The sequence below is a fragment of the Homo sapiens genome, chromosome 1 (assembly GCF_000001405.40).
Source record: "Homo sapiens chromosome 1, GRCh38.p14 Primary Assembly".
Lineage (NCBI taxonomy): Eukaryota > Metazoa > Chordata > Mammalia > Primates > Hominidae > Homo > Homo sapiens.
This window is the reverse complement of record NC_000001.11, coordinates 234,535,252-234,550,725: the sequence shown is the minus strand read 5'-3', so window position 1 is coordinate 234,550,725 and position 15,474 is coordinate 234,535,252. Positions and strand designations below refer to the sequence as shown.

The window sequence follows — 15,474 nt, the reverse complement described above, 5'->3', positions numbered from 1 at the left end:
GAAATACAATGTTTCCGTCCTTGGGCATGGACAGGGGTCTGGAGCTCAGTGCTTCATCCGTTTAGGAATTCCATTACCTAGTCTCCAGGGCTCTCTGGCGGCTTGAGCCCCCAGATGCTCTGGTGGAGGCTGTGCGCCGCTCCTCCGCCCTCCTCCTGCCTGGCTGTCGGCCGCCGCTGCCTGTGCAGGAGGCTCATCGTTATGCCAGGGCTGTAGGTCTGCTCAAAGCTTCCCAGTCACCAGAAACATGTTCTTCTGGGGCTGCCTTTCCCACTTGGCTGGCGGTGCCTGACTTGCATATGAAACCGGCCCTTGGGGGCAGTAGGCTGGCGTGTCAGCCTCTCAATGCTAGACCAACAGACCCAGCCAGATTCTCAAGGCAGCCTCAGCCTGCCCTTTCTTCCCAAGAACACATGGGGTCTTTTTAGAAGAGCCATCGTGAGAGATGCTAAAATTTCAACTTTGTAAGAACCAACAATGACCAGAATAATAATGGGGCACATCTCCCTGATGCTACATGCTTTCACTTGTCTTAGAAGGGAGCTTTTTTTTTTTTTTTTGAGACAGTTTTACTCTGTCGCCCCAGGCTGGAGTACAGTGGCGCAATCTCGGCTCACTGCAACCTCCACCTCCTGGGTTCAAGCAATTCTCCTGCTTCAGCCTCCCGCGTAGCTGGGATTACAGGTGCACACCACCATGCCCAGCTAATTTTTGTATTTTTAGTAGAGACGGGGCTTCACCATGTTGGCCAGGCTGGTCTCAAACTCCTGACCTCCGGTGATCGGCCCTCCTAGACCTCCCAAAGTGCTGGGATTACAGGTGTGAGGCATCGCGCCCGGCGGAAGGGAGCCAATTTTTGTGACATCTGTGGTTTCCCATTGCGCCTTGAGCTGCAGAAGCCAGGCAGGCCCCAGGGCTGCTGGTCCACTGGTGGTGTTGGAGATGCTGCTAGAGGGGCTCAGCCCCTGCAGTGTTAAAGGCACAGGCTGAAGCTCATCTTGTCAATCATCAAGATGCTGATTGAATATCCCCAGGGGATTCTGAGACTGGGCCTTGTAACTTTAGGTGCTGTTGAAGGTCTGATCACGCCTGCACACAGCCTGCCATTTCCCAGGGATTTAAGGGTCTACTCAGGACTGCCCCTTCCACATTGTCCTCCTTGGTCTCCCCGCTGAGCTAGGGCTTCTTCTCCAGGGTCTCCTGCCACTCTGTGCATAAATCCATCACTGCTCTTACTCCTGGAAGAGCAGGTGACCCTTGAACAACATGGGGGTTGGGGCGCCAACCCCTTAACAGCGGAAAATCCACATATAACTTTTGCCTCTCTCAGAACTTAACTACTGATAGTCTATGTTGACCAGAAGCCTTGCTGATAACATAATCAGTTGATTAACATACATTTTGTATGTTCTAGGTATTAGACACTATTCTCACGAGAAAGTGAGTTAGAGAAAAGAAAATCATAAAGAAGAGAAAATATATTTGCTCATCATGACATGGAAGCGGATCATCTTAAAGGTCTTCATTCTTGATGTCTTCATGTCAAGTAGGCTGAGGAGGAGGAGGAAGAGGAGGGATTGGTCTTGCCATCTCAGGGGTGGCAGAGGCAAAAGAAAATCCATGCATAAGTGGACCGTGCAGTTCAAACTTGTGTTGTTCAAGGATCAACTGTGTAGGCTTTCTCCTTCTCTAGACGGGACTTCAAGATAGAATGGACCCTCTGTCATCATTTTTGCATCTCCAACAGCCACAACAGTGCTTTATATATAACAAATGACCAATAAATGCCTATCAAATGCATTGAATAATGGAGAATGCCTTTCCGTCCTTTGAATCACAGCTTAAGGGATTACCTCTTCCAGGAAGTCTTTTGGGTTAATGGAGGGCACCTTCACCTTTCAGTATAATCCTAACCCTCTCTTGTTTTTGAAAAGAGTTAATGGGGCATAATGAATAGTCATATCTAATATTTACTAAGCACTTACGACCTGCCAGGCTGTGTTATAAGCACTTTACTTGCATTCCTTTACTTGATTCTGATAATAATCTGCTGAATTAAGTTATATTACTATCATTCCCACTTTGCAGATGATGAAACTGAGAAGCTGAGGCACAGAGAGGTTAAAAAACTTAAGGCTGGGCGTGGTGGCTCACACACCTGTAATCCCAGCACTTTGGGAGGCTGAGGTGGGAGGATCACCTGAGGTCAGGAGTTCGAGGCCAGCCTGGCCAACACGGCAAAATCCCGTCTCTACTAAAAATACAAAAATTAGCCGGGTGTGGTGGCAGGTGCCTGTAATCCCACTGCTCTGGAGGCTGAGGCAGGAGAATCGCTTAAACCCGGGAGGTAGAGGTTGTGGTGAGCCAAGATAGCATCACTGTACTCCAGCCTGGATGACAGAGTGAGACTCCATCTCAAAAGAAAAAAAGAAACTAACTTAAGTTGACATATGGCCAAAGTGGAGAAAGGATGAAACCCACCCAGTTTGACTTTAGGCCTGCTTACGCATGCTGTCCTGCTGTCTCTGAGTTTTATTTTGGCTGCATATTGAATAAATGACTAAAAATCTAGAGCGGTGGTGACAGAACTTTCTAGTATGCAGAAATGTTCTATATCTGAAATGTCCAATCAGTAGCCACTAGCCTTATGTGTTCATTGAGCACCTGAAATGTGGCTAGTGTTTCTGAGAAAGTAAATGTTCAAATTTTAATTAATGCAAATTTAAATAGCCCCATGAGTTTAGTGGCTACTATATGGGACAATGCCACTCTAGGACAGAAAGGACCTATTTTTAAATTTTTAATTATTATGGGTACATAATAGTTGTCTATATTTACGGGGTACATACAATGTTTTCATATAGGCATACGATGTGTAATAATCACATCAGGGTAATTGGGGTATCCGTCACCTATCATTTCTTCGTGCTAGGAACATTTCAATTCCACTTTAAAATATACAATAAATTATTGTTAACTACAGTCACCCTACTGTGCTACCAAATGCTAGATCTTATTTATAAGGAAGGACATATTTTAATTTTCTTCTCTAAACATCTTACCATGTAACCCATGGTCATCAAAAGGACTCTTTCTGAATGGCTGCATATTAGTATCTCTCTGAATTGGGGAAACATCCAGTGATCAGCCTGGAGTGAATTAGTGAAACAAACTCAATCTTAGTCCTTGAAGTCTCCTTTCTACTCAAGCGGCTTTCTGAGTACATGAAAAATGTACAATTCTAGTTTGTTCACTCACAGAGGCCTGGAGAAGATTAGGTGCTCAGCGGAAGACTGGCAAACTAGAGCTGGGATAAGGGACAGGAAGGAGCTTCCCTTATCAGTGCTAGACCTGGTCTTAGGCATTCTCTTATTCCATCCCCAAAACAATTGAGGGACCTACCTTCAATTGTAAAATAGGATTCCCATCTCACAGCTGAGGAAAACTCAGAAAGGTTAAGAAACTCCCTCAGAGAGAGGCACTCAGAAAGAGAGCTGTGGTTTCAGCTGGGTTTGTCTGATTCCAGCGGCCATGGATTGTGGTTGGAGGATGAGGGGTCACTGTTCAATGGTAAAGGGAGGTACTCGAGGCTGACCATCTGTTCAAAGAGTGAGTGTGTGTTATTATCGCTCCCACAGTGATGCAAGGCACGTAGTTAGAGTTAGTGCCTGAGCCAGAGACCTGTTTCCTTCCTTCCTTCCTTCTTTCCATTTTCCCTCCCTTTCCTTGGCCCTCCCTTCCTCCCTCCTTCCTTCCCTCCCTCTTTCTTTCTATCTCTCTCTCTCTCTCTTTCCCTCTCTCTCTCTCATACACATAACACACATAATAATAAATCCAGATTTCAAAGATTCAGTATGAAAGGGTATAAAATATCTCATCAATAATCTCTGAATTAATTTTGTTGAAATGATCATATTTTGGATATACCAGGGTTAAATAACATGACAGAGAAATTATATTAAAGTTTATTTAACCTGTTTCTTTACTTTTTGGATGTGACTACTAGGATATTGTAAATTCCATAGTGGGTCAGGTGAGGTGGTTCACGCCTGTAATCCCAGTGCTTTGGGAGGCCGAGGTGGAAAGATCGCTTGAGGCCAGGATTTTGAGACCAGCCATCTCTACAAAAAATTTAAAAATTAGCTGGGTGTGATGTCTCACACCTGTAGTCCCAGCTACATGGGAGGCTGAGGTGGGAGGATCGCTAAAGCCCAGGAGTTCAAGGCTTCAGTGAGCTATGATTGCCTCACTGCACTCCAGCCTAGGTGACAAAGTGAAACCCTGTCTCTATAGAAATAATAATAAATAAATAAATTGCATCGTGGCTCGCGTCATATTTCTATCGGACAGACTGGTCTACAGGATTGCGTGTATGAGTCTGCATGAAACACCAATGACTTGTCAAAACTCTCCTCAGCCTGAGCAAATGATTTCATCCCACTAATACCCACACTGAAACAAAGTGAAACTGGCTAGGTACGCACAGACTTTGGCCTCTGCCTGGTCCGTGGCCCCTCTTGGGTATGATGCTGAGGACACCAGCTGGAATTGCTCACATTTTTTCCCTCTGCACACAGAGCACATGAAGCTCTGTCCTTTCTTTGCCTTGAATGGCACTAGCATTTCTTTCTTGAGCAAGGTGCTTCGTCATTCCTCTGAGGAAGGCAGGTGATGAAACCGTGACACAGAAAAATGGCCTGCTCCCTCCAAGGCCATTCCCAAAGGCCGTGGCCGAGCAGAGCCAAGCATGCCATCTACCATGAAGCTGACCACCCTCAACTGCCTGGACGTTCTTTTCTGGCTAACGATCTTACAGCAGTGGACAGATTCAACACACAGGCTTCCAGGGGAAAGGATGGTGGTGTCCGATAGTCTCTGACCCCTCCCATGATCATAGTATTCAACCCTCCCTGGGCTCAGTGACTTATTTCCTCCTCTTGGAGGTGGGAAGTGCTATAGTATTCCTCTTTGATGATTTAAAAGTGGTATATGCCTTTTACTCTTTCCTCTTTATATCCAGCCCTCTCCTTTCTCTGTGCTGCTTTTACACCAGTTTCCATAGTAACAACCTCTATTGTATCCCTGACTGAGAAGGGAAATCATGCAGATGTTCGAAGGGATACAACACCTTCCAGCAGCTATTTTGATGCACCGGCTCCTTATCTCCCTCACTAATTTTCTCGTCCTTCTCTTCTCCTTACTGCTGCCCCTTCCTCCAAATACTTACAAACCCATCCCAAGCTCCCTGTCTCCCCAGTGTGAGCCTGGGGGAGTGGGCAGGGAGAAGGAGAGTGCTGGCAGAGGAGGGAGAGGTCTCATTACGAATCTTAATCTTTCAGGTGGCTTCAGACAGAATGACAGGCACCAGTCCCGGACAGGACACGCACAACACAAAAGCTATGGGAGGTAGAATCAAAAGTACCAGAGCCCAAGAGCCGTGGAAGATGGCTCTCCGATTGCCTTCAGACAAGCACCCTTACCTGAATGCTTGCAGAATAAACAGACTGCCTGAACTATCTGTGCCACCAACCCCACCCCGCTCGCTCCTGCCCCAGCCTCATGAATAGCTCCTGCACCATATCTGTGAGTTTGAAGGTCTGTCTTCCTTCTACGCATTTCCCTTGGAGAGATCAGCCACCTTTTCTGATGGGCAGGGCAGAGGTGGAAATACAGCGCACGCACACACACACACACACACACACACACACACACACACACACACACACCAGGGCTTTGAAGACCTGCAACAACAGAGTTGCCCACCTTTCCTCCAGCAGCCAGGCTCAGCCGGCCACCTGGGAAGGCAGGAGGAATGGGGGTTCATCAGTCATCTCCCGAAATTGTTTGATGAGTTCTTTGCACCATTCCTCCTTGGAACTGGACATGATTCTTTTGATTACACAAGCCTGACAGCCGATCATAATAACCATGTAACTGAAGAGAACCTATTCCTGTCCAGCGGCATTATTTGTTCACCTAAAGCAAAGCCTGAGCTATATTTAGCATATGATGTCAGCGGGTTGTTTGGATTCTTGGAAATTGGCAGGAAGCCACCTCTCACATGATATATGAAATCACTGATAAATGCTTCTTTTCACCAAAAGAAAAACAGCTTAATAAATGTGGCCCTTTTCTGCTTTCATCTTCCCTCCCTTCCCTTGGCCCTCCCTCCCTCCCTCCCTCTCCTGCACCCTCCTTCCTTCCAGCCAGCCCCTCTCCCTCCACCGCCTCCCACCCCTGCCACATCTGGGATTTGTCTTTCTGTGGCACAGCTCAGCAGAGCCTGTGAAGTGGAAATGAGTTGCTCAGTATCACAGATCAAAATGAGGCTGTTGGGATGCTCAGGATGTTTTTTTCCTCTCCTCAAGCCTGGAAGGCTGCCAAAGTGCTCGTGAATCAGACGCACATGCACAAAAAGGCAAATCTATACAGCAGTGGCTTTATGGGGCCCGGTATTGACGGCATAGCACTAGCTCTGGGTTGCTGTTTTGCAGGCAAGGATGGGAAATAGATAGTGATTCAGGACTGCCATTAAGTGTGGAAACAGCCCCTGTACAGATTGTATGTAATAAACCCAGCACAGAGAGAAGCTGTAAGCAGCTCTGGATTTGCTGCCCTGGATCAGCCACGAGGCCCATCAAGTTCAAGCTCCCGATAGGTGTGGTGGTTAATACCTGGTGCTCTATCTTCCCCATCCTGCACTGAGTCCATTATACTAAAGCTGTCAGAGGGGTTGGAAGGGGTTGTGTGTGTGGAATTAAATTAATTCTTGCCCTCCTGTGGAGATCAGTTTATATGGCCTGAAGCACAAGATTTAATTACCCTTATCTTAGCTCGTGTAAAAACCAATGTCATTATTGATCATGGATTCACCAGGTCCCTTTCACAATCAGCTGTAACATTTAACTCAGTGACCCCCTGCAGGCCACGGGAAATGGGGGAGCAGCAGCTCCCAGTGGTGGTTTATTGACATTTATTTGTCCTCAGCTTCATCCAGTGGCCTCCTGTCTGCCACTGGAAGATACTGTGAAGACAAGAGAGGGGCTTGTTTCAGCCCTTTAGTATCTTGGATACCTTCATGATAGTCCCTTCTAACACAGGCTCTGTCAAGGCCAAGCAATCCTGGCATGGGTGATATCAGCCGGCCTATGAGGGACCTGCAGAGTTTCAAAAACAGCACCGTGACACTGACTGCAACTGGCCTTTCTCCCACACGCACACATGCGCAGAGCTAGCTCGTCTTCATCCTGGATGGGAGAGAAAAACAAAAAGGAAGGAGGAGGGAGGGAGAGCAAACCATGTCTGTATTCTTGATGTAACTGCCTCAATTTTTTACTGGGGTGAGGAATGGATGCAGCAATGAATAGACAGGTGAACAGACAAACAGGTGAATGGACGGATGCTTACATTAATTAATCAACAGTGAGAAATCCCACAAAATGAACACCGGTTGTAGGAAAAAGCTGTTCTTCCAACCAGTCTTCTAATTAGCATTCATCTGGGGCTCTATATAGAAACTGCAGACGAGTGGAGGGCTGTATTTTAATTGGAATTATTTTTTTTTTCTTGCTTAAAATGAGGGGTATTGGACCCGGATGCCCTGTTAGATCCCTTTCAGCCTCTGAAATTCTAAGGTTCTGTAATTCTGTGATTCTGCAACTTTATGAATCACTCAGGGTAAATTAACTTTTTTCTGGAAAGCAACTGTCCTCCTCTTCCCCTAGGTGCAGCGAGCGAGCTCTGCTCTGAGATAGGGTCCTATCCTCAGACATGGATGCTTCTGGAATCCTTCCTGCATGGGGGATTGGGACTTCTCTGGGACCTGAAGAGCCAATAAATACCCCTCTTCTGGAAGGACATTTGTCCTCACCAAGAACACAGCTCATCTGGGCTCTCTGGAGGGCCAGGATAGTGTTTATAATGATGATGACAATTTCTGTTTTATGCAAAGACCAATTCTTTTAGCCTAAGCTGCTCAAGAAGTTTGCCATCATTTCTATCAGCCCCAGATCTCACATAGAATAGCACCGTCGCAGCTGGCAGAGCACCACGTGACAGGGACAAATAACTCACTTGCCCAGCTCTGGGCCAGGGCTGGCCCACAGTTTCGCTGGCACTGGGCTGCAATCACAGTCTGTCTCATCACATTACCTTGGAGGAGGTGCAGGAAGCCCAGGCGAGGTCGGGAGAGAGATGGAGAAAGTTGAAAGATTTAGTATTCTCACAGTTGCCTGGGAGAACACAGCACAGCATGCAGAGCCACAGTGGCACAGCGTGCAGGGCCACAGTGGCACAGCGTGCAGGACCACAGGGCCACCCTCGGGGTGGGTCAGGAGCCAGAGGGAGAGTGGGACAGTGGCAGGAGCTGTTAGGGTGGTTTCCATGGGAAGGAAAAGCAAGGCAGGGTGTGCGGGCTCGGGACCGGCTAGCTGTGTTTGCAAGTGGCACCCCTGCGAAATTCACCTTTACTGTGACTGTCAGAGTGTAGAGTTTAAAGTTATCTGAGGACTCCAGATGTCTACGGGTATATTAGCCAGGGTTCTCCAGAGAAACAGAATCAATAGAAGCATGCGGAGCGGAGGGATGGGTGAAGAGAGGGAGAGAGAGAGACATTTTAAGGAATTGGCTCACATTATTATGGAGGCTGAAAAGTCCAAAATCTCCAGCAGGCTGGAGACCCAGGGAGATGATGTTGCAGTTCAAGTTAGAAGACCGTCCACTGGCAGAATTCTCTTCCTAGGGTCAGGCTTGGCTCTACTGGAGCCTTCAGTTGATTGGATGAGGCCCACCTGCAACATGGAGGGCCACCTGCTTTGCTCAAAGCCTGCTGATTTAAATGTTAATCTCTTTCAAAAACACTCCCACAGAAACATTCTGAATAATGTTGGACCACACATCCAGGCAGCACAGCCCAGCCAACTTGACACATAAAGTTAACCATTGCAACGGGTGAGTCACAATTGGCTTAGGTTGGCAAATAGGGCCTTAGGTGGATGTCAATGCATCACTTTACAGAAATTAAAAGCATGGTTAATACCGAGTCATTGATTCCTTACAGGGGTAGCTCTTGTGGGGCAGGATCTGTGACAGGGCCTCACTTCCCAATACCTTCACCCAGGTGACTTCACGCTTCCCTTGGGAAGGCACCTTGTAGCTTGCAAAATGCACTCACTCCACTCTCTGATTATCTGATTCTCCCAACACCCGGCAAGGTCAGCCTTATTATCCTCATCTCAGAGACATGAGAACATGAATGGGGAGGTGAGGTGACTTGGACAACTTGCGAGTGAAGGAAGTCAGACTGGATTCCATCTTCAGATTCCAAATGCCAGGAGCTGGCATGCAGTGAGAGATTGCCTGTGTCAGGCACACTTTCTGTGCTTCCTTTGTACTAACTTGATTTTTCAGAACAACTCAATGAAGGAGCCATTACTGTTTAACAGGCAGGGAAACTGAGGCACTCTCAGTGTATCACACAAGGTGGGCTGGCATCTGGGGCCAGCTTGGAGTCCAGAATCTTCATCATCTCGCTCCTGCCTCCCACACAGCCCGGGCAATGCCCTGTCCCCCCATCCCCAACCCCAGCACACTGCCGCTTACCCACACCTCTTAGCCTATCTTCGGAGACTGCTAGCAATCACCCTTTGAGCAAGTGTAACTGAGGGATAGCATAAAGATTTGGAAATGGAAAACAGAGAAATCCTCAAAGTGGAACAAGCTCTCAGAATGAGGCTGGGGCTGCCTAAAGCAAGCACCACCTCCTCAAACACCCTGTCTAGGAGCGGTCCCAGTTGACCCAGCTTATCAGGAAGGGCTCCAGATGTGGCTTCCCTGTGAAGCATCTCTGGTCTCAAAGCAGGGTCCCTTTTTGCTGTCCTCGCATTACACACTGGGCCCTGCTATTGCCTTCGTCATGATCTGCCCAACATGGGAAGCACATTCATTCAAGAAACATTTGCTGAGTGCCAGGCACTGTGCTGGGGGCCAAGAACTTAGAGACAGGGAGGAAGGTAGCCCTGGCCTCAAGGCAGTCTCAGGCTAACTGAAAAGACAGGCCTGCCAACCAGGCAGTACCAACCCGATGGCTGTACCAACCTGATGACTGGCAGCTGGCCCTGCCTCCCCATTAAGGCCTCCAGAAAGCACCCTGGACCCACAGAGTGAGGCACCATCAGCTCTGCCTAAGGGATGCTGGCAGTTCCGTGGGGAGAGAGAAGGCGGCCTAGAGCTGAAAGACAGTCCACAGATGCAAGAAGGGGCAAGGGCAGCTGGCAGAGGGAACAGCACGTGCAAAGACACGGAGGCATGAGAGCATTTAGTTTTGCTCAGCTGGAGCACACGGCATATGGAGCCAGGGCCAGAAGGACACCAAAGGCGGTCAGGTTAGGTGGTAAACAGCCTGAGGGCCCACCAAAGAGCTTGGATCTGTTCTAAAAATACCCTTCCTGGCCCTTGTGCAATCTTGCCATTGTTTCAGAAGCCTTGCGAACAATGTGTGAAGGGCTCTGCAATCCTCCAGGGAGTTACGGAGTCCTGGGAAGGAGCCTGGGGCTGGATTTTGACTCCTGACCTCGAGGAATTTATAATCTAGGTGAGAGCAAGACTAAGTATGTGAAATATTAGCGGCCATCCCGGGAGAAAAATGAAATGTCAGGCAGTGTGGCCAGGATAGTTAAGTGCGGTGAGAGTTGGTGAAGGGATGGGATTAGGGTGCTTCCATGTGCAGATTAATAAATCAGAAAAAGTTGTTGCTTCCTGCTTCTAAACTGGGCAAAGCCCTCACCACTGGCTTCTCTGTGAGACCCTGTAGTTTTTTTCTTAGGGGATTTTCCAAGCACAGCCTCATCAGCTCTCTTCAGCGTGGAGGCTATTTCCCTTTTGGCCAGTACCTATTAACTTACCCTTCTCCCAGATGAATTTCACTTTCCTCAGCTGAACCTGATCTGTTCCCCCAATGCATTAAGTCCATCCAGGGTTTCAGACCCTCCTACTTTTGGGGTTTGCCTAAAACCACCCCAATTCCTCTCCATAATGCAGCCTGGGGGATAAAGATATTCTCATAAACGCTTGGATGATGGAGATGTCAAGCGTGAGATTTTCTGTTTAAAGGAGCTCTCTGTTTCTGCCAAAGCTGGCAATGTATTATGAATTCCTTTGAATGCACTTGTTTGTACCTGGTGGAGATTCCCTTGAAGTGTGGATGAGTGTTTCCTGTGTTGTTGCTTCAGAGCAAAGTGGTGTCTTTGTGTGTGTCTATTACAAACACATTAACCACACGTGTGTCCCATCTTCTCCCTTACACCACGCAGCTAGGGTGATTGAAACACGACATTTTATACTCAAAAGCAAATTACAGCAAGGAATTAGTGTGAAATTACTATCCTCCTCTCAGAGTTCCTTTTTAAAAGTCAGCAGCAGTGCTCAGGATGAAAGTTGGCCTGTCAAACAAGTCCATTCAAGCTTGCAATTCCGCTGTCATTTCCCCGACGGGCTTGTGATAAAGAGCGAGGGAAAAAAAAATCTGCCAAAAATAGTGCCACTGAGAAACCCAAACCATGGCAAACTCAAGGGCCAACACCACCCGCTGCACAGCCCTCTCGGATAGGACAGCCGCTTCACGGGCTTGTTCTGACAGAGAAGTCGTGTTCCAGGGTGTGTGACCTCAGATTTCAGCACCAGAAAGACTTGGAGAGGAAGGCCCTGGAAGAGCTGCCTCTGTGAATCCCCGAAGAAAGGGAAGGGAGAACAAAGTTTACACTGAACATCTTGACTTCCCAAACAGCATGTTGAGGCAGTCCCACGGCGGACAGGTTTTGCGGCAGGCCTGGGACTCGCCCGGGACTGCCGCAGCCTGGAGATTCATCTAGAAAGAATATAACAAGCCTCCTTCTCCCTGGTGCCCATGTTACTCCCTGTTGCTACTCTTTCCGAGCCTTCAGTTCCCTGGGTGGTACCCTCAAGTGTGAAAGAGGGAGTGCCCCTTGGAAGCTGGGGAACGATTTAGGCCCAGGAGAAAATGGAAGCAAATCCAACAACCGGTGAGCTGTTAAAGAGGCCATGCGCCTGGTAGCAAGAGCTCTGGATCAAACGGCATGTGCGTGCATCCCATTCCTGGCTCTCTTGCCAGCTCTCAGGGGAGGTGGGCAGGCCGACTTCCCAGCTCTGTGCCTCTGCTCCGAGAAGTAAGACAGGAGACCTCTCCTGCCAGTTCACTGGGAGGGTTAATGCTCCGAGAGGCGACAGGTCATGTCTGTATACAGATTCCGACTTCGCTGTTTCAGCTCATGTTTATCATGCTCCTGGGGGTGCCCTTTGACCATCCTAACCACCCTGACAGCTAGGTATCCTGAGCTCCAGTTTACAGGTGAGACCATCGAGTCTCTGAAAGGTTAACTAACCTGCCCCAGTTAACACTGCCGGGAGGTGGCTGAGCCAATAATGAAATCCAGGTCTTTGGGTTCTAAGTCCAGTGCCTGCCATAAAAGGAATTTCTCCAGCCTGTTTCAGTGGCAGTGGCTGCCATGCAAATGCAATCTGTTTTCGCCTCCAACACGTCACATCTCTGGGCAGAGATTTTGTTCCCACCTTTGTCGTCGTTCTGACGTCCCACCACGCATTTGCTGTGAGGAACAACTTGCATCATGAACCAGATTTTAAAGTTGTTGCAAATATGTATCTAGCAACCATAAAACCTGATTTGTGTTTCATTTGTAAGCATACCAAATGAAGCCACGGAAGGGGCTGTGAGGATTGCAATGTGGTACACTTTTCTGGGTAAAATGTTCTTAGAGGGGCCACAGCTAAAAGGCAGTCTATTGTTTAACAGGCCTCAATGACAACCATAATAATCAATGTAGTTATTATCATGATTGTCGTCACTGCTAGATCTTACATCTTTGTGGCACTCCGATCACTAGCTAATCAGAGCATTCACCTGGGCCTGGCTTGCCCTATTCTCACTGTCTGTCTTTTTTTTGTCACTTATCACAGACTCCTGCAAGCAGAGTAGCCCTTGGGGAGGTTTCCCCGGGGACCCTTTTCTTTGGCATCCTTAAACAGCTGTCACACTGTCCCAGTTGTTTTTCAAGAAGAAAGTCCCCAGGGTTTTACTGAGGCAGACTTGAACTTGACCTCGTCGTGTTGATTGGTTCACTTTTGCTTCCCCCTGGAAAGAGGGGTGCCAAACCCTGGGTGCCCATGGGTGGATCCTGGCAGCCTTCTACCTTACAGCTCATCACCTGTTTTTTTCTACCCAGAACATGCGTTTGGACATGTAAGGATTTCAGCGGTTCCTGCAAAGCAAACTTCTCTGGAGGAGCCCGAGAGACCTCTTCTGTACAGAATAGCCTTACACCCCATAGGGCAGTCTGTCAGCAATGCATTTGAAAGGGGAGCACATAGGTAATGCATTAGGTAGGGTGGTGTGAGGAAGGGGATCATTCAGCACCTGGTCCTGAATGTTATTTGCCAGGTACTTTTAAATAACTTCTGTTAGCTATTACTCCTAAACATTCTTAGGGAGCGGGTAGGAATTGTCCTCCTTTTGAGAATAAAGAAACCAAGAGACAAATGTCTTCAGGGACACATCCAAGGAGGAAGAAGAGGTGAGAGCCTTTAGTAGTGAGGGTTACCCTTAGCTACCGTCCTCTGTCCTCCTTGGCCCCATGGGCACCCAGGAAACACACTGCGGGGGACGAATTCTGGAGCGTGGCTTTCATCCAGGAATTGTCTAAAACATTAACTGGCTGAAAGACAGGATCTCAGTCATTCTCACACAGCAAACGCAGGCTCAGAGAAGTAAGCTATCCGCAGCAAATCACAGGATGAATTAGCGCCCAATAAGCACGGAGAAAGAAGGCTTCTTCCTCGCCATCCACTCCCCGGGCCAGCTTTGAAGAAAGATATATTTTTAAATGCAAGCCTCGTAGAGAAAATGTTCCCTAGCACGTACCCATAGCCTACTAATGGGGCAGTTGTTGGCAGCTAGTACCATCAGCCCATGCTCAGGATTGTGTTCACAATTTTTATTTCTATTCTCGGCCCCTGGTATATGATAGGGGTTGCTGTCCCTGGAGACTTAGGGGCACTGATGAAAAAGGTTTCAGTAGGTTCTTGCCTTGCTCTCAATTCAAGATTGATTTTGTTCAGACTTTGGGCCTGCAGGCCTGAGGTCATTTACTGAGTTAGTAACCATTTTTGTTTGTTTGTTTGTTTGTTTGTTTTAAATTATTATTCTTCACACAGACTCCATGTAAACTGCCCAATGCTTCCCAGAAGGCTGGCGGCCCCTGCATCGCTCTGAACTGAAGAGGAGCTGAAGTCACAGAAAGCCAGCCACTACTCGATTGCCCAAGAAGCAGTCGTCGCACTGGCCCAGCTTCACAGCGGCTCTCGAGTGCTGAGAAAACCCACTGGAAGGGCTTCCTTTCCCTACTCTGCACATGAGAATAGCCATTCCTGTGTCAGTTTTGCTTCTTTCTGGGCTCTCTGATTAGGATTTATTTCCTTAGCTAGAGAAAATAAAGGGACCTTACAAGGCCTAATTAGAGCGACTCCTCTCTGATGTATTCAAGACACCCTGCTGAATTGGACTGGCAAGTCCCTGTGTATTGTTATTATTGTTGTTTTAAAGAAGCCATTTCTGACCAGGGTGGCTGAAGGAGACGCCCTTTGTCGGCCTCTCATGGTCCTGGCCCTCGCCAAGGGAACTGTTCCTGAACTGCTGTGTTTATTTGAGTTATGTAATATAAACAGCTCCAAGGAGATGGGCTCCTCCACTTTTGTTTTTAGACTCAGCCTCCAGTTGCCCTCTGCAGAGCTTGTCGCTTGGGTGGTTTCCTCCAGCATTCTTTGCTTTGCTGCTGGAGAACAAAATAGCCCTGCCTTGACCCTTCTCGGGGACCAGCCCTTTCCTTTCAATGGCCCAGCAGTGAAAGTGAGGGGCAGCTTATGCTAACCTCCGCCAGGGCTTGAGGGCCCGTCCAAACCCAACAAAGAGGAATCGGGGATGGGTATGACTTTCCCTGTGACTTTTTCACTGATACATGTTTCCTCTAAGTCCAGAGCATCCCCAGAACATTTCAAACATAATCCCACTTTGTATACGGATTCACACCCGATTTTTCAGGAATGCATCCGATGTGTAAAACCCATGACTATAGTTAGGAAGATAAGTTCAAAAGATGTGGTAGATACCAGCCCCGCATTACTTTACTATTCACATCTGCTGAAATCACACATTTTCAAGGCATGTCCTTGCTAATTAGAGCAAGCTCATAGTTTAGCCCCCCAGTGGCTCCACGCAACAGAGAAACACTAAATCTTCTCTCTCTGAGTCTGGCTTGGCACAATGGCATCCGAGGTACAGTGGGATTATAACACATTTTTAGCAATAGGTTTCTTAAAACAACTCTCGAAGTGTTGAGTCTCTTATTCCTTTATTTACACGGTTGTCTTAAAGCAGATAACAAACAG

The 15,474-nt window shown here is 47.9% G+C and overlaps 4 annotated features.

Annotated features, from left to right (window-relative positions):
- Positions 7,781-8,281: an enhancer, noted in NCBI's record as "H3K4me1 hESC enhancer chr1:234678191-234678691 (GRCh37/hg19 assembly coordinates)". NCBI's record gives its function as "activates a minimal SCP1, AML or CMV promoter by ChIP-STARR-seq in naive H9 embryonic stem cells {active_cell/tissue: H9 hESC(naive)}" and the evidence as "EXISTENCE:reporter gene assay evidence [ECO:0000049][PMID:30033119]".
- Positions 8,282-8,782: an enhancer, noted in NCBI's record as "H3K4me1 hESC enhancer chr1:234677690-234678190 (GRCh37/hg19 assembly coordinates)". NCBI's record gives its function as "activates a minimal SCP1, AML or CMV promoter by ChIP-STARR-seq in naive H9 embryonic stem cells {active_cell/tissue: H9 hESC(naive)}" and the evidence as "EXISTENCE:reporter gene assay evidence [ECO:0000049][PMID:30033119]".
- Positions 10,156-10,659: an enhancer, noted in NCBI's record as "H3K27ac-H3K4me1 hESC enhancer chr1:234675813-234676316 (GRCh37/hg19 assembly coordinates)". NCBI's record gives its function as "activates a minimal SCP1, AML or CMV promoter by ChIP-STARR-seq in primed H9 embryonic stem cells {active_cell/tissue: H9 hESC(primed)}" and the evidence as "EXISTENCE:reporter gene assay evidence [ECO:0000049][PMID:30033119]".
- Positions 14,649-14,943: a silencer, noted in NCBI's record as "tiled region #14716; HepG2 Repressive non-DNase unmatched - State 23:Low". NCBI's record gives its function as "represses a minimal TATA promoter and a strong SV40 promoter by Sharpr-MPRA in HepG2 cells {active_cell/tissue: HepG2}" and the evidence as "EXISTENCE:reporter gene assay evidence [ECO:0000049][PMID:27701403]".